The following is a 25,848-nucleotide window of genomic DNA, read 5'->3' on the forward strand; positions in this document are numbered from 1 at the left end:
TATCATCTCCCACACTTTCTAAGGGCCATCCTGTTGTACAGCTCCAGACAGCATGGCCAGGCTGCACTTGCCCTGCCCTGTTCAGCTCTGGCTTCTGCCACCTTTTCCCTCCTAGGTGCCCTTCCACAAAGTCCTCCCTGATCTGTCACTGGAAATGGTGTCTGGCACCTCAGCTTTTGGGAACTCACGATTCCTATACCCTCCCTTTGTTTATGGTGATTTGTGGCCCTCTTAACTCGAACACTTGTTCCTAGTAAACACGCTCCCCTGCATAGTCCCTGTACCCCTCTGCCGGGGCCCGGCAGGAGACAGGGCAGGGGTGAGGCAGGTGCCTTACTCCACGCACGCCTCTGTTCCTCACCTGCTCCAGGACACCCTCCTCCTCCCTCCCAGCCTTCAGCATGTGACTGCCCTCAGGCTGGCTCTCAGGAGCTGTCTTTCTGCCAGGCTCCTTCTCTGTGGGCCTGAGGGAGGCTCAGTAGCTCCCTTTCCCTCCAAGAGCCCCAAAGCAGGCTCATGCCTCTTGCGTCCTAACACACAACCCTCCTGGACCCTGTATCTCCCTCTACCACTTTCGTTCCTTTTTCAGCCAAGCTCCTTTAAAGAAAAGCAATCTTTATTCTATAGTGTTATTGAAGTGTAATTGACATATGATAGACTGCACCACTTAAAGTGTATAATGGATAAGTTTCAACATAGGCACACGCCCTTGAAACCATCACCACCATTAAGATAGCGAACATATCCATCACCCCCAGGTTTCCTCATGCCCCTTCATGCCCTTCCTTTCCACTCCTCCTCCTTCCCCAGGCAACCTTGGAGCTGCTCCCTGTCACTATATGTTAGTTTGCATTCTCCAGAACTTTACGTACATGGAATAATACTGTATGTACTCTTTTTGTCTGTCTTCTTCCACTTAGCGTAATTATTTTGGAGTCCTTTTATATTGTGTATAACCACAGTTTATTCCTTTTTATCGTTGAGTTATATTCCATTGTAAAAGCTATATCACAATTTCTCTTTTCACTCATTGATAGACATTTGGGTTATTTCCAGTTTTTGGCTATTCCAAATAAAGCTTTCGTGAACATTTGTGTCCCCCCCTTGTTTTTTTTGAGACAGGGTCTTGCTGTGTTGCCCAGGCTGGAGTGCAGTGGCACAATCTCAGCTCGCTGCAACCTGTACCTCCTGGGTTCAAGAGATTCTCCTACCTCAGCCTCCCAAGTAACTTGGAGTACAGGCGTGTGCTGCATGCCCAGCTAATTTTTGTATTTTTAGTAGAGATGGGGTTTCCACATGTTGGCGAGGCTGGTCTCAAACTCTTGACCTCAGGTGGTCTGCCCGCCTTGGCCTCACAAAGTGCAGGGATTACAGGTGTGAGCCACCATGCCTGGCCCATTTGTGTACTTTGTGTGGACACATGTTTTTATTTCTCTTGGGAAAATTTTTAGGAATGAGATTGCTGAATCATATGTATAGGTTTAATGTTTTCATTTCCTTTTTAAAAATAAAAAAAAATTTGTGCTATGTTGCCCAGGCTGGTCTCCAATTCCTGGGCTCATGTGATCCTCCCACCTCAGCCTCCTGAGTAGCAGGAATTACAGGCTGACACAGCTGCACCCAGCATAAGTTTAACTTTTTAAGGAACTGACACGCTGGTTTTCAAAGTGGTTGTACCCTTTCACCTTCCCACTGGCAGTGGGCGGGGGTCCCAGCTGCTCCTCTTGCCAGCATGTGGCATGAGAGGCTTTTCTTTTTATTGTGGTAAAATATACATAATGTAAAATTTACCATTTTAACCATTTCTATGTGTACAGTTCAGTGGCATTAATTACATTCACAGTGTTGTGCAACCATCACCACTGCCTGTTTCCAGAACCAACTTACTTGTTCCAAACAGAAATTCTGTACCCATTAGATAATAACTTCTCATTCTCCCTTCCTCCTACCCCCTAGCAATGTCCACTATGGGACGTATTTGATTTTTAATTTTACTTTTTTTTTTTTGTCTTGCTCTATCACCCAGGCTGGAGTGCAGTAGCACCATCACGGCCCACTTCAGCCTCAGCATCCTAGGCTCTAGCAGTCCTTCCATATCAGCCTCCTGAGTAGCTGGGACTACAGGCATGTGCCACTACACCCAGCTAATTTTTTATGTTTTGTAGAGATGGGTGGGGTCTTGCTGTGTTGTCTGGGCTGGTCTAACTCCTGGGCTGAAGTGATCCTCCCGCCTTGGCCTCTCAAAGTGCTGGGATTACAGGCATGAGCCACTGTGCCTGGCCCTTATTTTTTATTTTAGCCATTCTAATACTTATGTGATAGTATCTCATTGTCATTTTATTTGCATTTTCCTAATGATTAATGATGTTGAGCATCTTTTCATGTACAAATTTATTTGCCATCCATATATCTACTTTGGTGAAGTGGCTATTCAAATCTTTGACCATGTTTAGAAAATGAGTTATTCATGTTCTGATAATTGAGTTTTGAGGGTTCCTTATATACAGATAAAGGACTCATATATCTGAGTCCTTTAGCAGATATATGATTTGCAAATATTTTCTCCCAGTCTGTGGCTTGTCTTTTCATTCTCTTGGCAGTGTCTTTTGAAGAGCAGAAGTTTAATTTTGCGGGTCTTTCAGCCAAGCTCATGCACTCGCCCACTCTTGACCGCAGTCCCTGGCTTACTGCACTGCCATCTGCGCGCAGCCCGGCTCTTGCTCCCACCACAACACTGACGTGGTACCCACTAAGGCCAGCCAGTGGCTCTCACTCTGCCGAGTTCAGCAAATGTGTTGCAGATGGTATATGCCTGGGACCTTTCCCTGGATTTGACCCTGCAGGTCACTCACGACCTGGAACTGTGTTCCTCAGGGACCCCTGCTTCTCTCCCACCACTGTGATTGTGCCTTCTCTGTCTCCGTCTCCCACTCAGCAGTGATGCTTCCCAGGCACGCACCCTCTGCCCCCTTTATGTGCTCTCTGTGGTGCGATTTCCCTCATATTTGCTTTATGACCACCCCCAAGCCAGTGATACCCAGTCTCCAGCCCAGCCACCTTCCTGGACTCCAGTTGCGTGGACCCAGCTGAGCCCTGGAAGCTGCACCAGGAGGGCCAGCGCCACCCCCATTGACGTGTCCCCGTGAGAACTTTTCCCCAAACCCTCCCTCTCTAACCATCCCACGCCGTGTTGTTTCTGACCCCAGGGCCTTGTTCCTGCCATTCCTGCGGCCTGGTACACCTGCCCTAGGTTTCCTTTCCTTTTTCTTTTCCTTCATGCATCTCAAGCCGTCTCTCTTCCCGGAAGCTTTGCTGGGATTCCATCCTTGGGATCTTTCCTCTGTACTCATGGCCTGTAATACAGCTTAGCATGTACACACATCCTACGTGGAAACCATCTGTTTATATGCTTATTTCCCCCAATAGGTGGTAATTGCTTTGAGAGTCAATGTGACTTCTAATTTGTATTTTTGTCCCCCACATCTACAGGTGTGCCTGGAATGGATCTGGTGCTCGACAGATGATAGGTGATTCAGTTTCAGGGCTGGACCTGGGCCAGTCCCGAGCTTGTTTGTCCTCAGCTCCATTCTTGGCCACCTCCAGCCCTGCTCCGAGTGGCGGGGAGCTGACCCCATGGGCTGCCTTCCTCAGGCTCCCAGATCAGCTGGCTTCTGCCTGGGTTTAGCCAACAGGAGGCCCTGGCAGGAGACTGGATGGTGGGAGGAAGGGAGGAGCCAGGGTGTTTCTTTCCTTCTCTCCTCGGGTGGTAGCTCCAAAGTTTGTGTCTCTTGGCTCCTGTTAACACCACCTCCTCCCTTGTCCCTCCCGCAAAGGGCTGGCAGTGTGGCTTTCTGCTGGGCCTCTGTCTGGGTCACCACACCGCCCTGTTTGGCCTCTTGGCTCCTCTATCACCCGTGTGACCGATTCCCCACGTTAAATCCCCTCTCTTCGCAGCTCTAACAGTGTCTCCTTCTTTCTGGTTGGACCCTCACTCAGCCCAGCTGCCAGGGACTGTCCCCTCTGCTTGTACAGTGCTGGCCCAGCATTCACTTGTCCAGGAAATGCCTGGGTGAATGGCAGGCACATGGGCCAGGCTTCAACTTGCTCTGCCCTCGCCCTTTGGCCTTGAAGGTCCTGCCAGATACTCCACAGCGAAGCGAGGCCTGAGCCCTTGTGCTGGGGTTGCCAAGGGAGGGGTCTGGAGGTGGCAGCAAGTGGTGGGAGGGCAGGTTGGCAGTGCCAAGGACTCCTGTGCTCTGTGCATGGCCCTTTATCTATTAAGCCTGCTGAGTGGTAGACTCCAGTGTGGTCCCAGGTGGTGGGAAAATAGCATCTTTAATTGTGCTCGGAATGAGATTAACTTCTTATCTGACAGTTTGACATCTTTATTGTTATTAATACCCGAATAATGCATTGTTATTTTTATAAACTCCATGGTGGCAAACATTTTTCCTTTATTTGGATTAAAAGTAGGTGTATCTGTTACTTCCCCTCATTACCCTGGGCTGGAACTCAGGGTCTCTGGCTGGGGAGCAGGGACTGGGGTGAAGGGAAGCCCATCTGCCGAGTCCTCTCCCAAGTGGCAGAGGAGCCAGGCCCCAGAGCTGGTCACTTGGCAATAGCACAGTCAAGGTCTGGGCAAAGCCTCCTGGCCTCCATTCCCGCCTGGGAAGGCAGGATGCTCCCGGAGTCTTCCCTACTGGAGAGGCGGTGTTCTGGAATACAGAGCCTGGAGACTTTGTCCTGGACTTACTCAGGGGCTGTAAATGGAAGTACAGGTTCTCCACAGCATCAAGTGGATGGAGAAGGAAGACATAAAAAGTCAATATAAATGCCATGGAGGAATACCAAGGGCCCTCTGTGCACCTGTGTGTTCATTCATAAGTATTTGCTGATCACCTACTGTGTGCCGGATATGATGTTACGTGCTGGTATACGATGGGGCTGGCATCCAGAGTGCCCCTTTTGGGGGTGAGGTTGAAGGGAAGGGCAGGATAATACCAAAGTCAGGATCATGGCTCTTGAGTCAGGCTGCCTGGGCCCAAATCCTGGTATCCAGAGGTCCCAGGGCAAGTTCCTCAACCTCTCTGAGCCTCAATTTTTCTCGTCTGTAAAATGGAGATAAAAAAGTACTTACTTCCAACATTCTTGGGATCATCAAATACATGTGAAAACATTTGCTACACTGCCTGGGGCACAGAAGAACCCAACAATATTATGGATGATGATTGTAGCTGCAGCTCTAGACGTGGGGCCAGGCCCTTGCAGTATGGCTACTAGAGGGTCAGGTGAGCAGTGGGCAGGGGTGCCCACAGCTGGCCCCTGTGAGCATCAAGCTCCCTCCCCAGGGACCTGTTGCCCACTCCCAGGCCCCCTGGCTCCTCCACTTACCCAGTCGTTAGCCCAGCTGACAAGGATGATAATGCCTCTGCCTTGGAGAGCTGGCGCCGACGTCTTTATCAAAGCCAATATTAATTTTCACTAATTAGGAGCTGCCGCTAATGAGCGTCACAGCTAATTTAGCTCATCTATAACCTAGGAATGGCACTGCTCTCATGCCAGGCTCCAGAGTCCAGGATGTTGGTGCCCGCTCCCTCCCCCACCTCCTCTCCACAATGCCAGAGGCACCAGCTGCCAGTACAGCCTGTTCCCACATGCCACCAGGGCCAGCTTGTTCTGCAGAGGGTCCAGTGGCCTTCACCTCCAGGGAGCCCTCAGGGTGGGGCCAAAGGGAAAATCCCTAAGGAAGGGGTCAGAGTATGTGCCAATCAGCTCCAGGAGTAAGTTTGAAACAGGAGGTTCAGTCTGGGAGGCTTCCTTTTTATTAGGGTACCATCCCTGCTGAGGCTTTGGCTCTGTCAGTTCTAATGCCTCTGTCGCCTCCTTCAGGAAGCCTTCAGAGACCACCTTAGCCCACAGAGACCTTTCCCCACTTAGTAGAGCTCTCACTGGTCAAACATTTGGCAGCAAACAGCGTTTGCCATGTTGCCTTCTCCTGGGAGACAGTGGAATACGGTGCTCAGAAGGTGGGCCTTGCATTCTGGCAACTAGCAGCTGTTAGACCTGTGCCTCAGTTTCCTCTCTGGTAAAATGGAGAAAATAACATATTGCTCATTAGGGGCACGGGGTGGGTGAGATGAGCCAGTGCATTGCCACGATCGTTGCTTTTAACTTTCCCATTGTGTTTCACAGGTCCACATGCATCTTCTGGTAGTCTTTCCTTCTTAAGAGAACTTACTTGTCCTTGCGCTCCTCTGTGTGCTCAGCACAGACAGGGGTTGTGCTCAGAGCAGACAGCAGGTCAAGAGCCCCGGCTAGCAGGCCGAGCCCCCAGCGCATGCCAAGTAACTGTTGAATGAATGAATAAACCTGGATTCTTACTTCTTTCTGAGCCTTAGTTTCCCCATCTGTAAAATGGGGCCATTGGCTTGGTCAATGTCTAAGACTGCTCTCATCTCTTTCATTCAAGACCCTTGATGACTTCAAGTAAGAATTTGGTGAGTGGATGGATGCTGGCTTCTGCCTCTCACTAGGAAGACGGGAATGGTGACTATTTGCCCCTCCAGGCCCTGCAGGGTGCCTTCCAGTTCTCAGATGGGGACTGAGAGTAGCTGCTGGTCAGAGCTGTGTAACCTTAGTGCAGGGCTGCTTTTCTGGGCCAGTGTGGCTCTCTTCTCACCACCAGCACAGGGAGGCATTCACCTGGCTTAGCCCTCAGACACACGACATCCGCAGGAGCTGCCCAGGAGCGTCCCTGACCTCTCCAGCCTGCTGGGACCTCCCAAGTGTGAGCATCACAGTGGGGAGGGCGGGGTAGGAAGAGAGAAAGCACTTGGGGGATGGTCTTAGACTCTCTGGTTTGGAGTTCCTGTTCCTGCTTCCCTTTCTGTTTCCTGTGTGCAGCCTGAGCTCTTGGCTCCCGAGAGGGGAGGGTCTAGGAGGGCGGTTGAGGACAGCTTTTTTGCACTTATCACCTCTGAAAAGCGACCTTCAGGCTGAGCCAACTTTGGGGGAAGAGCCTTCAGGCGTGACAGATTTGACTATAAATCTTCGGTATTAATGCCCGGTTCCCAAGGTCTGTCATCCTGTATGCCCGCGTGACAATTGAAAACAGTGTGAGGCCCATCTGTCACCCGAGGGGTCCCCGTCCCCTGCTGGCTTTGCCTGAGCAGGGATGGCAGGCTGGGAGGCAGGGGTATGAAGGAAAAGGTAGGGAGGATCTGGCCAGTGACAGGGTTGGGGATTGCAGCCAATAGCTGGAATGCAGGCCCTGAGGGGCGGAGGCTGGAAGGCAGGGAGCAGGCCCCAGTTCCATGCCTGGGGTCAGAAGCCTGCAGGCAGGTGGGAAGAATGTCACCCTGCAGGAGCCGGGGCCTGGGGTTATCTCTGGCTCCATTTCCCATCTGCCATGTGGCCTAGGCAGGTTGGCTGCCCTCCCTGGGCCTCAGTTTCCACTCTTCAAAGCAAGGGGGTGGCTGAGATGGTTTCTGAGGTCCTTTGTCCTCTGGTCGTTCATGTGGAGCCCCCACCTCCCTGGCAGCTCCCAGACATTTGGTGATTGGTTTGATGGGAGCTGAGGATAACTGTACAGAGACACAGAGCACGCAGGTGGGGAGGGACTATTTAAATAGGGCATCAACAATGCAAGGGGAGTTTTCCTTCCCCCTCCCAGGAAAAGTACAGGATGCTGCAGTTCATGGCTGCATCTTTCATGCACATGCCCCCGTCCCCACCCCTTCATGCAGAGGAGGACTGTGTCTTTGTTATCTCCTCATCTTGAACCTGGTAATAGCAAGTCGGCGATTTGGGAGAATCTGAGACTTGTGTCTGAAAGGATCTTCCAGTATCTCTAGCCCAGGCTTCTCACTGTATTGAGAAGGAACCCAGGGCCCGGAGAAGGGAAGTGACATGCTCAAGGTCACATGGCAGATGGCTGGGTAGGAAGCCAAGAAAGGGGCAAGATGTGTCCCCAGCTCCAATTTGCTCCTGAGGATTCTCTGGAAAGATTTGGGGCTGGAACAGACACTTCAAGTACAAATGGAAAACCACTGACTTGGCCAAGAGGACAGAGGATGGGAGCACCAGCAGCTTAAGAGAGGGTTTGTCTGCCCCTACTTTCAACTTCCTATTTGTACTTTTGATTTCAAGTGTGCAATATATCACATAGACAGAAGGGTGTATCGTAGAACCTGGATATACGAGTTAAAGAAAACACATGTATGATAAACCAAACACATGTATGATCTCACCCTGGACATTGCCAGGAACTTCAAAGCACCCCCTTTGGCGTGCTGGCTTGACCTGCTCCCTCCTGCTCCCAGCCGGACACGCCTCCTCTCATGGCTCTTCCAGAGTGAGAACATTCCTGAGAGAATCTGGGAACAGTGCCTTGGCTGAGAGGAGCACTGGAAATGTTAGGGCTGTTCTACCCTTGACCTTGAATGAGATCCCAGAGGGAGCCACTCCTCAATCTTTGCTTCTTGAGATCTGTGCAGCATCCCACATGACCGACCCCTAACTCTTCTCCATCTTCCTCCTTGGCCTTCATCCAAGGCTCACTTGGGAGGTCCCAGCAGGGTAGAGAAACCAGGGACGCTCCTGGGCAGTTCCTGCAGATGTTGTGTGTCTGAGGGCTAAGCCAGGTGAATGCCTCCCTTTGTTTTTGTTTTTGTTTTTTTGAAATGGAGTCTTGCTCTATCACCCAGGCTGGAGTGCATTGGCGCGATCTCTGCTTACTGCAACCTCCGCCTCCCAGGTTCAAGCGATTCTCCTGCCTCAGCTTCCCGAGCAGATGGGATTACAGGCACCTGCCACCATGCCCGGCTAATTTTTGTATTTTTGGTAGAGATGGGATTTCACCATGTTGGCCAGGCTGGTCTCAAACTCCTGACCTCAGGTGATCCACCTGCCTCGGCCTCCCAAAGTGTTAGGATTATAGGCGTGAGCCACCGCGCCCAGCCCCAGGCTCCTCTTTGAATCTTCCTCAGGCCTCTGTCTTCAGCCCCTTCCCTGCTCCCTCTACAATCCTTTCTTCTGGACCTCACCACTCTCATGGCTTCGGCTGCCATGTGCAGGGTCCAGCTCCAAAAACCTCCTCCAGCCCATCCTGTATCCTGAGAGCACTGAACGAGCATGCCCTGCATCTTACTCGAGACATCTGCAAGCACCTCAGACACCAAGTCTTTCTTCTCCCTCTCATCCAACATTCAGTTCGTTGCCTAAGCCAGAGCTTTGTATGCCAACTTTCTTGTTCTTAAACCAATTCACTAAGTCACTAGATCTTGCTGTTTCTACTTGTGAAATGTCGCTCACACTGCCTGTCCCTTTCTCTCTCTGCTGGGCTCTTATTATCCCGGCTTAGGCAGGACTGGTAAATCCCCAGCACTGATGCCACATTTCTCCTATCACGTGCCCGGGCCAGACATCACTACTCTATCATGGTACTTTTTCTCTTCTCCACACAGTACCCCAGGCAGCCCCTACCAATCTATGAGAATTGGCACATAAGATAAAAGTGATTTGCTATTTATGGCCTAGGTTTCATAATAACCTTCCAACTAGTCTCCTTGCTTTCAGTGTCTGTCCACACAAATCTGTCTTCTACATGTCTGCCAAAAGAATCTTCTAAAAGTACAAAAGAAGCCAGGTTATCCTTCTATTTTAAAGTCCTTTCATAGCTCTCTTTTGCCAACAGGATAGAATAAAAGCTTCTTAGCCTGGCATACATACTCTGCCGAGTGCTCTCAGCTTCTCACCGTCATCTCTTACCACTGTATGGTTGACCCCCTCCCTCCTGCTGTGCCTGGAGATTCACAGTTCTATTGATGCATCATGCAACCTTACACCTCAGGGCCTTTGCACCTGCAGTTCCCTCTGCCTAGTGCCCTCCCCTTCCTCAGCCTCCTGATGATGCCTTCTCATCCTTCAAGGTCCTATCTTCCTGCACTGCCATGGCCCCTTCCCCTGTCACAGGGAGTTGTCCCCCTCGGTTCTCCTGGAGCATCCTGAGCAGCCCTGCATGATAGAGCTTGTCACTGAGGTTCATTTGCAATTTCTGCTGCATCTGGTTCATTTTACATCTCCAGGATCTGGTGCTGGTCCAGGCAAACATGGCCCCAGGTAGTTCATTAGATGCTGTTGGGGCAGGGGTCTGGATCCCATGCCTCCCCTGCCCCCTCCCATCTATCTCTGGTCTCTGGTGCTGCTCTCCTTGGCTAAGGGTCACCCCAAATTCAATGGTACATTAGTAACTCCAGTGGCTGTGGAGGAATCTAAGAGCCCGTCTCCAAAGCCTGAAATATATAAATGAAAACATTTTCATATTTTCTTAGAGCCCCTCCTTAACAAATGACTTGGCCAAAAACAAGGTCTTTTCTTCTTCTTTTTTATAAGAATGGAAAGCCTGAGCAGGCATGGTTTATTTGTCCTGTTATTTTTTATGTCTGTTCATGGGTCACATGGAGACTTTATGCATTTGGGTTGAGAGAGGAAGGGAGTGGCCATTTACCGAGTGTCCACTTCAAGGAGGGGACTTCCACGTATGGTTCTTCACTGAGTCCTCAGAACAGCCTTGAGAAACTAAATAATTGTCCCCATTATGTAAGATGAGGCTCAGAGAGGTTAAGTGCCCTGACCGGGCTCACACAGCAGGTAATTAAAGGAGGCAGGATTCAAACCCAGGTTTGGCTGTCTCCCAAACTCATATCCAGACTGATTTCTTCCAGACTGATCTCTAGGCTGCTCATGTGAAGGGGGAGCGAAGGCAGAGCTAACATTTTGGGGTTTCCTCATGCTCATTTCTTACCTCTTCTCTCTTGTCTCAGGGTTCCTCAGGGAACCCGCAGTGTGGACACCTTCAGGAGGTTTTTGTCTAAGGATTTGGGGGCGGGTGAACTGAATCCCGCAGGAAAGCAGGAGTGAGAGGGGAAGGGACTGCGGCCAAGGTGAGCCTGTCCATCTGCAGGAGCCTTGCAAGGGGCAGAGTGGATTTGGAGAGACACAACAGGCTCTCTTGAGCCAGGAAGGCTTCCTGCTCCTGCTAATGCCATAAAGCCCACCATTAGGGAGCCATTCCTTTGGGTTTTTATACTTTTGATTCTTCAAAAGGTAACGTGCTCCTGGGAAGCCTCACATCTTACCCAGGTTATTGGGTCATGACTTGGGTGAGGGTCTGCCCCTGCCAGGAAGTTAGAGAGCAGGGGCCCGGTGAGGATCAGGGGCAGGGAAACCAAGCTGGGGTGATGCTGGGGTGGGGAAGGGAAGGGGAGGATGCCAGCAGCATACACTCCTGTGGGAGCAGCGGAGAGGCTGGGATGTGTGTGTGCATCCATAAGGGGACTGGATTTAGGGGCTCGGGGAGCCATAGGTCAGAGACATGGCTGAGATGATGTTCCTGTTAGTATCATCACAGGGGCTTCACACAGTCAAGGCTCACACAAAATGCAAATTGGGTGACTCTCTGGATACCTGCCTGCCACGTGGTAATCCAGCGATCCACCTGCTTCAGTCCCATGACTCTGCTGCTGTCTCAACATGTTGCCTCTAGAATCCACCGTGGCACAGGGAGGAGGGGTGGAGAGAAGCACCTCTGCTCCCCCACACCTTAGCTGGGAGGTGACACAGGTCATTTCCTCCTGTGGCCCATTGGCCAGACCTAGTGCATGGCCCCCCTGAAGTGCCAGGGGACTGGAAAATGAGGGGTTGCTCGAGATTCTCAGGGAGTGGGTGGCCGGGCAGGACCTGTGGTGTTCAGTCTGCAGCGCGTCTGCCCACATTCCCGTTCTGTCCTTACCCCAGTCTGGCCCTATCGTTTCTGCAGCAGTTTATTCAACAAGCACTTAAGCCAGGCTGTACTCTGGGAGGACAGTGGTGAGCAGGATGCAGACACTGCTGTCCGGGTCGGACGGGGGCTAGACTAACATCAGCCAACCCATCTCGAAAGTGAGGCCCAGCACAGGCTGCTCTGAAGGCCTGCTGGAGCCTGGGCTGTTGGAGAGGCATTGAGGTGGCTGCTGCATTGGAGCTGAGACTTGAGGGACAACTTGGATGTGAGGATGGAGGAGTGTTTCCAGTGAGGAGGGCAGAGGAACAAAGGTATGAAGGCAAGATGGAGCAGGACCTGCTGCACACATCAGGGATGGCGTCCACGACCTGTGAGCCAGGAGCCACTGCTGGGGCTGGTGAGGAAACAGATGGGGTCAGGATACTGAGTGCAGAGAAGGCTGGAGGAGCCAGGATGAGTGTAGGGAGACTGGATGGGGGCGGCTGTGTGGTCTCGGCTCACACAAGAAGAAGGACATGATGGAGATGGGTTATATTTGGGGGTGGACTCGATAGCACTTGCCAAAGGAATGATATGAGGGAGATGGAAGAATCTAGGATGGCTCCCAGTGTCTGGTTTTTGGAGCTGGACAGGTAGTGATGTCTTCCACGGACCCCTTCGGAGGAAAATGGAAGTTCCATTTTAGACTTGCTGGCTTTGGGTATCCAAGTGGATGTGTTGAGATGGCTTTGTGAAAATCTGCAGCCTGACAGCCTGGGAAACTTGGGGTGGGGTTGAGGTTGGGAAAGGGGACTTTGAGATCCCTGGGGAGCCCCATTTCCCGTTGCCCAGCTGTGGCCTGGGTGGCAGCCCCATTTTCATGGCTGGAGGGCTGGAACTTTGCTCTGCTCATGGGTGCACTGGCTTATCCTGGGTGTCTGCAGGGCCCCAGCACAGTCACCGGCACCCTGCTAAACAGATTCATTAAAAGGGAGGGAGTTCCCTGCCTCCAGAGGGTGCAGAGCAGCCAGGATGAGCGAAGGGGTGAAGGCATTAACTGGGCCTTCCCTGGAACAGGCAGTCTGCTGCCAGCTCACAGCCACCCTTGGGAGTCAGGAAATGGGGAAAGGAGAGGTGTGTGATGGTGGGGGGAAAGGCAGGAGACCCCACATGGCCCCACCAAAGAGAACAGGGTTTGAGGCAGTGTCTAAATGGCGCCTCTTCTCAGGGTGCACGTGAGATAAGAGTGGCTGGGGCCCTGGGTGCCTTAGGCTAGGCTCACCTTCCACATCCCTCCCCTTTTGGGTGTCATTCAGCAGATAGTGTGGTCAGTACCAGCCTCTGTCTAAATGGTGGACAAATAGGTCCAGGTAGGAAAGCTTTTAAGTGCTGGAAGCTGGGAAATTACTGGACGTGGCAAATGGGAGCAAAGGACTTCTTGGATCAGTTTCTCCTCCACAATTCCATCCTGAGCCAAGCTCCCAACATCTGGGGGCTTCCTCTCCTTCAGCTCGCAGAGCTAACCCTTGAGACGTGGCTGCGTGTGGGGTCCTGTGGGGCAGCCCTGAGTCTCGCACTGTGTGGGGTCCTCTTGCCTACATGGGTGACTGAGCCCCTGCCAGCCCACAGCAGCGGGCTTGTGTGGCATCTGCTTTAGGTCAGCTTCCTGCTGAGTGGCCAGGAGAGCCTGGGCTGCAAAGGGTGGGGGGAGTCGGGGCTGGCGTGAGTGTGAGTCCTCTTCCCACCCTCCCCGTCCAGAGCATCAGGAGCCTGACTGAGGCCCTTCGCAATGAGGGCCTGGCCAAGTCCCTGGTGGCGGTCCCCATTCTGTGATTCGCCATCCCCATGACCATAGCGGGCTTCCAGGTATGAGGCCCACTGCCAAAGCCTTCCCCCACCTTCCTTCCTCCTTTCTGCCTTCCCTCTCTTTCTTCCTTGCTCCCTTCGTCACTTTCTTCCTCCCTCCTTTTCTCCCTCTGTCTCTTTCCCTCCCCTTCTCTCCTTTCTCCCTTTGCATTTCTTTATTCCCTCTAGTATTGAACTTCCAAAGTAGAGTTCCCTGTCATAAAGGACCTCAGGTCCCAGAATCCCTTGCAGGTCTACCCCTCCCCACCTACCTGGACCCCTGCCCCAACAAAGATACCTCTCTATCTTCTTCTTCTTAGCATAGGACTGCTTTAAAGTTGATGCCAGAAGTTTCTTGACCCTTGGGAAGCCTCCTGTTCTCTAGGCCATAGTGGACACCTGAGGTTGGGGGGACAGGCCCCATAGGAATGGGAGAGGCTGCCTCCTCCACCCCATTGGTGGGGGTGTGCCAGTGCTCAGGACCACCTGTGGGGGCACTGGACTGCTGGGCAGGTGGAGGGGTTAGGGGTATCATCAATGCTGCTGGGCTGGTTTGTTTCAGATCTCTTGCCTCCAAAAAGACCTGGGGGCACTTAGCAGGAAAAGCCGAGTGCGAATGGAGACACAGGAGGATAAAATATTGTGGCTCATCCGGAGGAAGCAGAGGGATTAGGTGGTGTCAGGTGCCCGAGTTGAGCGGATTACAACATTTGGGGCATTGCATTTGGCCCTAAGTTTTCTGACAGTTAAATCCAAGAGGGAGCCATCCTGAAGTGTTTCCAGGCAACAGAAAGCGTGCCCATTAATCTGTAGAGCAGTTTTTCTCTGTGGAAGTAAATCTCCAGCAGGAATTGATCATGTGGGTCTTGGTACAAAGGACATTGAGAGGTGCAGTCAACAGCATCTTCAGCTGCAGTTTTGCAGAAGATACAAAAATGCTGTTCAGTGGCCCGTCCTGGCGGATGGAGGCAGGGGTCTAACATTAAATCACAACTCAGCTGGGGCCTGGGTGCCAGTAAGGCTGGGGCTGGGGGCTTTGCCTTCTGGGAAGCTCCCTGGATGCCAGGCTGTCCTTAGGACTTGGTGACCCACCCCAGCATAACTGTGCATTCACTCTCACCCTTCCAGGGGTGACGTTCAACATGCTCACTTACCTATCCAGCATGGGACACCCAAGCCCACAAGAGGCTGGTGGGGAGGGTTGAACTTTTTGGGGAGCAGGCCCAGGCAGCGGGGTGGGAGTGCCTAGGACAGCAGCTCTTTATCAATCTGCAGATGGTGTTGGACATTTTAACAACCAGTGTGGCTATTCTGGTGATTCCCAGCTGGGTCTCAACCCCGCCCCTCATCTTGCTCCTCACTTTGCCAGTCTCTCTGCCCTGTTCCCAGCCTCCCTCAAGAACCCAGGCGAGCACCATCTCTCTTCTTCCACTCTGGCACTTTCCCCCACTAGCTCCCACGTGCAAGTGCGTCTTAATCACTGCAGTCATGGGATGAGGGAGAAGCTCCTCACCCTTTCCTGGGCCTTCGCCGTCCTAAGGGCTGGTCCCTGGGCTCAGCCTTTTAGGTGCATCAGCTGATTTAATCCTCCTAGTGGCCTGTGTGGTGGATGCAATCCTACACCCATTTTTCAGGTGGGGAACTGAGGCATAGAGAGTTTAAGTGCCAGTCCTGGGACTAGGTAATGCAAAAATCACTGTTTTGGTGTACATGCTCACACACATTTCCTGTGTTTCTGTGTTCACTCTCCCCCCACACACATGTTCACTCTCCCCCCACACACATGTGCCTGTGCACACACACATGCCCCCTCACATGCACATTTTTACATCCTTGCTGCGGAGCCTTCAAAGGAGGTGCTGGGTCTTGTCCTCCAGCCCGAGCGCACCTGTGGAAATCATGGTTCTGGGATCCTCCCACCATTCCACACCTCCCACGGCCACAGCGTGCAGCTGTGGTCCCAGGGCCTGTATCTGGATGTGGGGGGTGAGGGCTTGAGGCATGGTGGCCCCATTACTCACAGGTGGGAGGACGCGAGAACAGTCGAGCCGCTCTTAAATATCTCTCCACGTCGTCCTCATTAATAACTGTAATGCCAGCATCATTTGCTCTTAAATAGCTTCATTTATCAACAAGCAATTTGCCGTGGCGAGGTGGTAGGGACGCAGATAAGCAGACAGGGCCAAAGTGCTTGCAAGACACCTGCCAAGTACCGTCCTCTCTCTTCCTCCATCTCCCAGGGGAGCAGGAGAAAGAGGAGGCAGCGGCAGGAAACTTAACAGGAGGTGTTCCTCCAACCCAGAGAGGGGCCGCAGGATCACCTTTTTCCAGACTCAGAGGAGCTGGGCAGCACAGGACAGGCTGGCTGCTGGGGAGGCTGGCACTCCCTGGGCCCCGGCGTTTGTGTGGCACTCAGGGAATGCTCTGACAGCTCTTTCAGCCGCGTGCAGGACTGAGAGTCAGGAGGTCAGAGCCCGGCCCTGCTCTGCCATCTCCTGGTGGTGACCTTGGGGGTGCCTTTGGACCACCCACTGTGTCATTTGTAAACATTATCAGCAATGCTGGGCATCCTCTATCTTGTTTCTGATCTCAAAAGGACTGTGTCTAAAGTTTTTTTCATTAAGTGCAATGCCTGCTGTAGGTTTTTGGTATATACATTCTGTTGAGTTAAGGATGTTCCCTTCTATTCCTAGTTTGCTGGGGTTTTATTACAAATAGGTGTTGACTTTCTCCTATGCATTGATGTCTGTAAAATGGGGACTTGAATGAGCAACTTACATACAAGTTCATGTACACACTAAAGGGCTGTGTCATTTAGGAGTGTATTGGCTGCAAGTTACAGAAAATTGGCTGGCAGTGGTGTCCACAAATAGGGGTGTGTGTTTTTCTTTCTTTTCGTTTCTTTTTTCTTTTTTTTTTTTTTTTTTTGTGGGACGGAGTCTTGCTCTGTCACCCAGGCTGGAGGGCAGTGGTGCGATCTCGGCTTACGGCAACCTCCGCCTCCCAGGTTCAAGTGATTCTCCTGCCTCAGCCTCCTGAGTAGCTGGGACTACAGGTATGTGCCACCATGCCCGGCTAATTTTTGTATTTTTAGTAGAGACGGGGTTTCACCGTGTTAGCCAGCATGGTCTCAATCTCCTGACCTCGTGATCCACCTGCCTCGGCTTCCCAAAGTGCTGGGATCACAGGAGTGAGCCACTGCGCCTGGCTGGGTGTGTGTTTTTCTTATAAAAAGTGGTCTGAAAGTTGGTGGTTGCAGAGTTGGTTGGCTCAGGGAATGAATGACACCATTAGAGACCTCAGCTTTTTCTGTCTTTGGCCATCCGTCCTGCATTGACCTTTTGTGCTCAGGCTGCCATGTCTGCGACATTCCAGGCAGGTGCAAGGGAGGAGGAGCTGAAAGCTCTTTGTTTGAGAGGATATTCCCACCTGCTCCCAAGCCAACTTCCCCTTCCATCTCATTGGCCAGAGTCAGCCAGGGCAGGTGAGGCTGTTTGACTGCCCCAGCCCAGCAATGATTCATGCCCCGAGGCAGGAGATGGTCCTACCTCCACTGGCTGTCTGAACAGATTGGGGCTGTGTGGGCAGAGAAGCAGTGTGGGGTGGGATGGGCGTGGTTGCCAGGTAGGCACATCTGCCATTGTGGGTGGTCATGCTGGAGTCCCTTACTCCAGATGGGTGTCATCCTGCCCTCAGGGTGCTCCAATTCTATGACAAAGCCACATTTGAACAGGAGGTTGTCCAGGCGTCTCAGTCTGAGATGCTCATGCCCAGCTGGCACTTGAGAAGCCACAGAGAAGTCTGACTTATCTTCCTGGGGGACTAATTTTATTTGCAAATGGATGGAGAAAGAAAAATTTTATATTAAAAGAAGCATCAATATATTTGGAGTAGAAGACAGAGTTTATGTAGATTTTCAGGTCAGACCCACTTGACCCTAAGCTCCTGGAGCCACGCCTGTCCTGTCATTATGTAGATGTCAGTGACAACTTATTGAATGGATAAATGGGAGAATTAAGCTGCGAAGACATTATTAAACACAAGACTCTGAATCAATTTCATCTTTGGGGTCTGCCTCTTTGGGGTCCTTATTTCCAGAGGTACTAGTCCCTGTCTCCTCTGCATCTAGGGATGTTTTGATGTGAATTACTGAATGAACAGGTTATTTGGTGGAGACTCTAGGCACTCTGGGATTACAGAGGAAAGGGAGGCAGAAGAATGAATGTGTGACCATCAGGGAAGGCTTCCTGGAGGGGGTGGGCCTTGAACTGGGAAAGATGGGATGAGAGGAGGGGAGCAGCCTGGTGCTTTTGTAGCACAGGCCAGCCTAGAGTGGGGGCAGGAGGCGGGGATTATGAGGGGACACATGACAGGGGCTCGAGGGGACACATGACAGGGGCTCAGCTGCAAGTAATGTGGCATAAGGTGACATCACTGTCTACCAGGGTTTCCCCAAATATCATCTTACACCAGACCTCCAGCAGAGTAGGACAGGTATCATAGTCCTCATTTTCTAGATGGGAAACGGAGGCTCAGGCCATAGCCACAGTTGCATGGTCAGTAGGGGGCGCAGCTGGACCTGACCTGGTGTGTCAAACTCCAGCGCTGTACTCTTGGGCTACTCTTCATTGTCCTAGGCCAGGGTCTCTAGAGACAGACTGAGCTGGAAATTGCTGTGCAGGAGGCTTACGGGGGTGTGCAGGAGTGAGGGAGCAGGACTGGGCAGAGGGAGAAGTGGAGCTGCAATGCAGCTGCTGGAAAGGCCTCAGCCGACCCTCTGGGGAGCCCTGGGGAGGGGCTGATCCCTGCTGAGCAAGAGAGCCAGGCCTTGGTACCTTCCCACCAATCACTCATTGGGCACAGACTGCCCACTGGGAGGGACACAACCCTGGGCCAGGCATATGCTCTGTACCCCTTCCCCTGTTGGCCTCCCCCACCTCCCCAAGGTGCATCTAGAACCAGCTGTTTCCCCTGCCTGGAATGGCCTTCTCTGCTCTCTCACCTCTCACCTCCAACTCATCCTCCAGGTCCAAGTTCACACGTCATTTCCTTTATCTCTAAAATCTACTGTCAGAGATATAGCAAAGTGCAAGACAGTAGACTACTACGTGTGTAAAAAAGAGAAATAAAGTGTATATAAATATATATGAGTGTGTATATGTGTATACAGATGACCCTTGAGCAATGTGGGGGTTAGGGGTGCTGACCACCACACAGTCAGAAATCCTCATATAACTTTTGACTCCCTGAGAACTTAGCCCAAGCCGTTCAGACCCGTGTTGTTCAAGGGTCAGCTGTACATGCACATACATACTTGCTTACATGGACGTGACATAAGCGTGTCTCTAGAAAGAGACATAAGAAACTGCAAACAGCGGTTCTTGCAAAGGGCTGGATGGGTAGGAGGCTCTGTGTTCCTTTTGAATTTTGAATTATGTAAATTAATGGCATAATAAAATTTAAATGAATCAAATAATTATTAAAAACACAAGTTTAAAAAGAATCGTTAAATCATTTGGTGGGGTGGGGCCTAACTGCTCACTTTTCTCCGTATGGCCCTTATCACCATGGTAATGAAATAATTCATGGTGTGGTTATTTATTTAGAGTTTGTTTCCACCCCCTGGTTGTAAGTGGTCTTGCCCACCATGGGAACCCCATGCCTAGACACCCTGGTGAGCCTTGGAGGATAACCAGTCATCATCCTCAGGCCAGCTACTATTCTCACCTCTCTCCTTCTCCCACCCCATGCATAAAAACAGCCTACTTCCTTCTCATTTTTTGCTTATTAATGCTCTTTATGACCACTTATGCATCCAGCCTAGAGGCCCTTGCATAATATATCCACCCTGTGCGTACACCATCATTGCATACATAATATGGCAACATCTGCACTCCTCAGGCCTTGGCCCCTGCCCCTCTCTGTACCTTTCTGGGAACCTCAGCTATTGTCCACTAGGTACCAACTCTGTGCCCTTCAAGGGGCCAGGCCCTGGGTCATAGTCAGGCCTGCAGGAGAGTGGGAGATGGACCATCAACAGTTGTTTTGTGTGGCTGAATCTGCCAGTGAGCACAGGCAGCATGGAGGGAAAGTCAGGAGGTGCCTGGGTGGAAGTGTGGAGGAAAGGCATTTACTAAGAGAAAGGAGGTAAAAGGTTTTCCAGACAGAGGAACTTTGGCCTGGCACCTTCTCCTGAGTACAAGATGCCGTAAATTTGGGTACAGCTCCTAGAGAAAAAGATGGGAATCTTTCTGCGCAGGAGTGAGGGCTACCTGCCAATCTTGGACCTGAGTCACTGAGATTGGCAGCAGAACCTTTTCTAGTGCTGCCCTGGCCACTTTAACACCCCTTTTCCTGGTCCATCTGACTTGTCAATCATTTCATCCCTCCAAACCGATAGTATACCCATGATCCATCTGCTGCATTCTGTTCCCAGCCTTGATTTGTTTGACCCACTCAGAGTTTCTTTAAACATCTGATTGTTAAGACTTAAACATTGAAATGTTTCTTGCAAACATGAATTTCCAGTTTTTGTTGATTGCACCTGGCAACAATCAGTGGGAACTGAGAAAGCTCCCTGCCTTAAACGGGACATATGTGCCCTGCAACTCACTACATTGTTCACCTGAACTTCTTTCTTCATCTTTTTTTCCTACTTATCCCTAGTGGCATTGACTAATTAAATAGCCTGAACATGTCTGTATCATTCTTGTTCTTAAAAGATATTTTTGCTTAATATGGAATTCTAGGTTGCCATTTACTTTCAGTACTTTGAAGTACCTTTCAGTACTTTCAGTCTATTGACTTTGGGATCCACTGTGATCATTGAGAAATCACCTGTAAGTTTAAATGTTGGTACCTTGAAGGTAGTCTGTTTTTCTTCTTTGGTTGCCTTTAAAATACTCTGTTTTTCTTTGGTATTCTGAAGTTTTACTATGACCTATCTGGGTTTGAATTTCTATTTATTTATCCTGCTGGATTTCATTTGTCTTCTTTAATCTATGGAGTTTTTGATTAATTCTGGAACGTTCTCAGCCATTATCTCTTCAAATATTGCATCTGCTCCATTCTTTGCTTCTGGAATCTCAGTTAAATGTAAGTTAGATCATTTATTGTATCCTCCATTCTTCTTAGCCTTTCTGTTGTATTTTCCATCTCTAACCCCTCTGTGTGGCGTTCTGGGTAATTTCTTCAATTTTACCTTTCAATTCACTAATTCTCTTTCCAGCTATGTCTAATCCTCTACAAAGCTAATGTGTTTGAAATTCAAATGATCATATTTTGATTCCTAAGGGCTCTATTTGACCCTTTAAAAATTTTCCTTGGTCTTTACTGGTATTTGCAAGCCTCTCTTTCCATTATTGAAACACAGTAAACATGTTTTACATTCTATGCCTGATAATTGTAATATCTGAACTATTTGAGGGCCTGATTATGCCATCTATTTTTTTCTTTAGGTTTTCATTCACAGTGCCTCGGGGTGTGTGTGTGTGTGTGTGTGTGTGTGTGTGTGTGTGTGTGAATTTTGACTGTGAGCTACTCATTTGGTTGGTTGAGAGAGTGATTCTTTGAGACCTGAGATAAAGGTCAGAGTTCCTCCAGAGGGAATTTGTATTTGTTTTTCTTAAGCACTTAAGCTCACTACTTGTCTGGGACTACTTTAAATTAAATTCTTCACTTAAGGATTTTAGATACCCAGGCCGTGTGAATTTGGGCTGCAAATGCAGATGTGGGCCATTAGGGTTACAAATCCTTAAGAGTCACGTTCCCCTCTCTATTCAGCACCACGATTTCAGAGAGTTCATTTTCTTTTCTTTCTTTTTTTTAAAGACTGGCTTGTGTGGGGGTATGAATTTATTTCTAGTCACTCTGACAATAAGGGGGAGGTTCTTTGGGGTGCCTGCTTGAGGGGGGTGTTTCCTATTAGACCCCTATGCTGGGTGGGGCAAGATTCTGCCTTAGGCCTTTTCTCCTCTTTTCTGGGCCCCGGGGACTGTAATAATGAAAACTTGGGTTTACCTGGTTCTGTAAATGACCCAGCCTCTCTGAGTTTCTTCCTTCATTTAGTATTTGACCTGAGTATTCTTGATTTTTTTATCAGCTCATTTATTCATTTAATACGTTTAAACACATTTTATCTGCTATTTTCAGTTGTTTGCAAATTTCAAGTTGATCCAGGTACCTACTGCATGTTATTAGAATCAGAAATCATGACCACTTAAACTATGGCCTATTTGAGAGCAGGATTTTTTTCTATTTATCTTATGACTTTTGTTGATTCTCATTGTCCAGGGTTGTGTCTGGCACACATACTGAAGCCACATGGTAGGTCCTCCGTAAACGTTAATTGAGTAACAAGTGCCTGAGTAGGTGAGTGAATAATGAGTAGATTAGTTGATAAAATGGGAGATCGTCATATTACATAGGAGGAAATTGAGGCCCAAAGAGGCCAAGTAACTTTCCAAAGCTGAACAGTAGTTGATAGCTGAGCCAGGGCTACACGAATGAGGGTCATTAGGGACAGCCAGGGCCTGGCTCAGAACAGGCCACCCTGATATCTTATGAATGACTTGGGAAATAATAGTAACGACTGACACTTATTGAACATGGACTTATGTGTTTGTTAGACACTTTTTAAAGCTTTACATGTATTAATTCTCACAACAAGCTTGTGTAGTAGATACTGTTATTATTCCCATTTTACAGATGAGGAAACTGAGGCACAGGGAGGCAAAGTAACTTGTCCAAGGTCACTCAGCTTGTAAAAGTGGCAGATCCAGGATTGAAACACAAGCAAATCTAGCTGCAGAGCCCACCCTCCCAACTGCTGTATTAAGAGGGGCTGAGATCACACCTCTGCACTCCAGCCTGGACAACAGAGCGAGACTCCATCGCAAAAAAAATAAAATAAAATAAAAAGAGGGGCTGTAACCAGTCTTGGCTCCCCCACCAACCTGGGTGCCATTCCAGGTAGCCGTGCACCAAATGCATCGATTGGGTGCTTTAAAGTCAGGCTGGGAGCTCCTCGCGTCATGTGATCACAGATTGAGATTGATTGGTGGAGGTCTGCCCTGAGACCCTCCTTCCACACACTGGCTGGTGGCATGATGGGGTTGGGGTACTTTGATTACTTTGCAGTGTGGCTGCATCTTGCTTGAACCCCCTTAGACTTCTCCCCCAGTGCTGCTGTCAGTCCAGTGTGGCTAACTCATCAGCTCCCTCCTCCTGCACACCCCAGGAAACATCAGTCACCTTGAGAGACCCTGAGACATGCAGGCAAGCAAACAGACTTGCACAGCCTTGGGCACACTGTCGAAATCCAACAAAATGCCCACAGTGACCTTAGCCCCAGACCTGTTTACGAGGTAAGAGCTTCTGTTGAACCAAGGTAGTGGGTGTTGGTTTGGCCAAGGTGTTTTTGGAGGAGTGAGCTATTTCTTCTCTTTTTGACCTCAGCAGAGGCCATACTCTACGCCCTTCATTTGTAACACAACTAGGAGTATCACACTTTAATCCTCTGAGGTTGTTGAGATATTCAGTACAGTTTGTCAGAGGATGAGGGTTTCAGCAAAGTTGGCAGATGGGGGAGACACACATTGGAAAAGATGAGGTAAAGAGGTCTTCATAGCAACAAAGGAGAGCAGGAGTTTAGCCCCAAATCTGCTCCTGTTTGTGGGGTGTCCAGCAGCCCTCGCCTGCCTCTTTGAGCAATTGGAGGGCACTTGGTGGGTCTAAGGCCCTGTTCAGCTCTGACGTTCTGCGATTCCCACTGGAACCAGAGGCGAGCCTTCCCCACTCGAGCACACGCAGGTCCTGGTGCCAGCAACCCAGGGAGGTCACGTCCAGGGCTTATTGCCCTACTGCGCTGCCCAGCACAGCTTCACAGTGGTGCCGCACCCTGGAGAGAGGCAGTTTAAGAGGGAGGCCCCAGCTAGAGAGAGCACAGAGCCCAGAGTCCTGCCACAGTCTCCAGGAGTGAAATTACTCGATGTTCAGGAACAGAGGGCATTGAAAGCCATGGGTGACAGGTGTCACAGGTGGCACAGAGGTGTGTAGGGGCCAATCTCTGGGCAGCCCCTTGGCTAAATGGCAAAGGGAGCTCTCTGCAGCCTACCCTCAACTTACCCATTCCTGCCTCCTGCCCACCCACATTTACCAGTTCCATGATGTGGGGCCTGAGAGCTTCTAGCTCTGTCTATACTAGACTGGAAGGGTAGATACTAATTCCAATGGAAAGAGGACATCTGAGGACTCTAGGAGTTTTCCCTCTGCCTAGTTAAAAACCAAACACACCCAACTAAAGAACATCCATCCCAATTAGGCAGACCCCAGACAGGTCAGGCATTGGGAAAACTGACCCTTACTCTCTTCTCTCTGCCCCTCAAACAAAGACAGCAGGACGCTCCTTGGGATGTGCTTTGCAGAGATGGAATGGAGTCCTTGGTGTGGCTTTTGACATTACAAGAACCACACTCCTGCAAACACTAGAACCAGGTCACTCTCATTTTTTCATTCATCCATTCATCCATCATTTGTTTAGTAGACATTGACCACAGGCCTGTCTGTGCCAGGCACTCCTCAAGGCTCTGGGTATACAGCAGAGAACACAGGTCAGAGTTCCTGCCTTCAGGGCGCTCACAGTCACGTGAGAGATGTTGTCCAGAGGATCGAAGGCCAGTAAGGACACAGGGCGGGGTGTGCTGCGCTTGGAGTCTGCCGTGGGGGGCTCGTGGCCTCTTCCAGATTGTGGGATTGATTCAGCGCTCCTCTTGTGTTTCCCGGCTTGCCCCTGCCACAGCTTCTTAGGCAGCAACAAGGCCAAAGAAGTGGGGCAACTTGCCTAGGCTACACAGAAGGGCCGAGAGTGGAACCTCAGCGCCTGACTCCATGTCCAGAAGCCCATGCTGTACAGCTGTGGGCACACTACTCAGCAGTGCTGAGCCATAGTTTCCTCATCTGTTAAGAGAGTGTGTAGCCCCCAGACAGCTCATTGCGTGGGGGAGTGGTGGGGTTGTTGGCAGGGGAATCCCAGAATCGGTGGCCAGGAAAGTATGTGCATTGTGTACATATTTCAAGTTATTATGATTATGATCCCAGGTGCTCAGGATTTGGCCTGAGTGAAAGCAGCTCAAACTGCCCCTGACCTGCCACCCTTAGAAGCAGAGAGGCCCAGGTTCCCCACCCATGAGGTGGTGACTTGCAAGCTGGCAGGGATCCGGGCAGAAATCATCTAGGCAGTGTTCTCAGACTCCACACTCATGCATCCCCCTCCACAACAGAGATTCTGTTGAGAACAGCTTGTTTTTCCTTAACTCATTTGCTCATCTGTCCGTCTGTCCATCCATCCATCCATCTACTCACCCCAAGAAGAGACATGCCTGAGGTAAGAACAGCCAGAAAAGCCCCTGGCCCAGCATTTCCCCAGTTATTATTTCCCATTCCACTGGCATCCTTTGAGAGGCTCTCGGAATAAAGGGCTTCCTGAACAAATAGATGTGGGGAAGGCTGTATTTTCTTTACCACCTTGTGGAGCTTCACAGCACACGTTACTGTAATAAAGGCTCTGAGAGATCCTGCAGGAAAGAAACCTGTTCAGATTTTTTTTCTAATGCAATGTTCCCTAGATCTTTTGGACCAAGGAACGTTTTTTCACAGAGCACCCGTTAGCCTGCCAGGGAATTAATGATTCGCGAAATACACTTTGGGAAGCATTCCTTTACACACAAAATCCTTTTTTTTAATTATAATAGCGTGCATAGAATATTCATAAGATCTCTTATATACCTACCTGCCTTCTTATATAGGGATGACTCATCATTCAGCACTTCCTTGGCCTGTGGTTGAACATATCACCATGAATAGCAATCTATGATGATGCTTTGTCATTTACAAGAGCTAGTGAAGGGACTCAAATTATTTTAGTTTTCATTTTTCGGAGAATTTTTTGCCTTTCCCTTTTGTGAGCAGCAGAAGCTGTTGTTCATTTGCTTCCTATTATTGTCCATGCACCTGCTTGGGATTACCATAAATCGCAAGCAGCAAAGTGCCAAGCTCATCATAACTGTGTGTAAAGTACAAGTCAACAGGCTCTGAGTGAGGACTTGGCCCTATCTCTCATTTCTGTAATGAGCTTGAAATTTAGTGCATGTATTTTGTGCCATGGCTTTTACCTGCTCAAAGGCCTTTGGGGCTAATTTCCTGCTTTTTGTCTATGTCTTGGATAACTGGGTGTGTAGGATGTG

At 50.2% G+C, this 25,848-nt stretch overlaps 1 protein-coding gene and 1 long non-coding RNA gene across 7 annotated transcripts in view, besides 2 other annotated features; one reads left to right on the forward strand and one right to left on the reverse strand.

The window, feature by feature from the left end:
• CDH23 (cadherin related 23) overlaps nucleotides 1–25,848 on the forward strand; it is a 419,028-nt gene that overhangs the window by 71,589 nt on the left and 321,591 nt on the right. The gene's annotated exons all lie outside the window — the stretch shown is intronic.
• Nucleotides 4,370–5,546, reverse strand: LOC105378356 (uncharacterized). Of its 2 annotated transcripts, XR_946055.3 has the most exons (3): nucleotides 5,392–5,546; nucleotides 4,904–5,108; nucleotides 4,370–4,781 (listed from the first exon to the last, which is right to left on the reverse strand). It is a non-coding gene; the product is annotated as an uncharacterized LOC105378356 (long non-coding RNA). The 2 variants fall into 2 exon arrangements; XR_007062184.1 differs by having other exon boundaries at nucleotides 4,370–5,108.
• Nucleotides 17,891–18,391: an enhancer, noted in NCBI's record as "H3K4me1 hESC enhancer chr10:73246156-73246656 (GRCh37/hg19 assembly coordinates)". NCBI's record gives its function as "activates a minimal SCP1, AML or CMV promoter by ChIP-STARR-seq in primed H9 embryonic stem cells {active_cell/tissue: H9 hESC(primed)}" and the evidence as "EXISTENCE:reporter gene assay evidence [ECO:0000049][PMID:30033119]".
• Nucleotides 18,392–18,892: an enhancer, noted in NCBI's record as "H3K4me1 hESC enhancer chr10:73246657-73247157 (GRCh37/hg19 assembly coordinates)". NCBI's record gives its function as "activates a minimal SCP1, AML or CMV promoter by ChIP-STARR-seq in primed H9 embryonic stem cells {active_cell/tissue: H9 hESC(primed)}" and the evidence as "EXISTENCE:reporter gene assay evidence [ECO:0000049][PMID:30033119]".

The sequence above is a fragment of the Homo sapiens genome, chromosome 10 (genome assembly GCF_000001405.40).
Source record: "Homo sapiens chromosome 10, GRCh38.p14 Primary Assembly".
Lineage (NCBI taxonomy): Eukaryota > Metazoa > Chordata > Mammalia > Primates > Hominidae > Homo > Homo sapiens.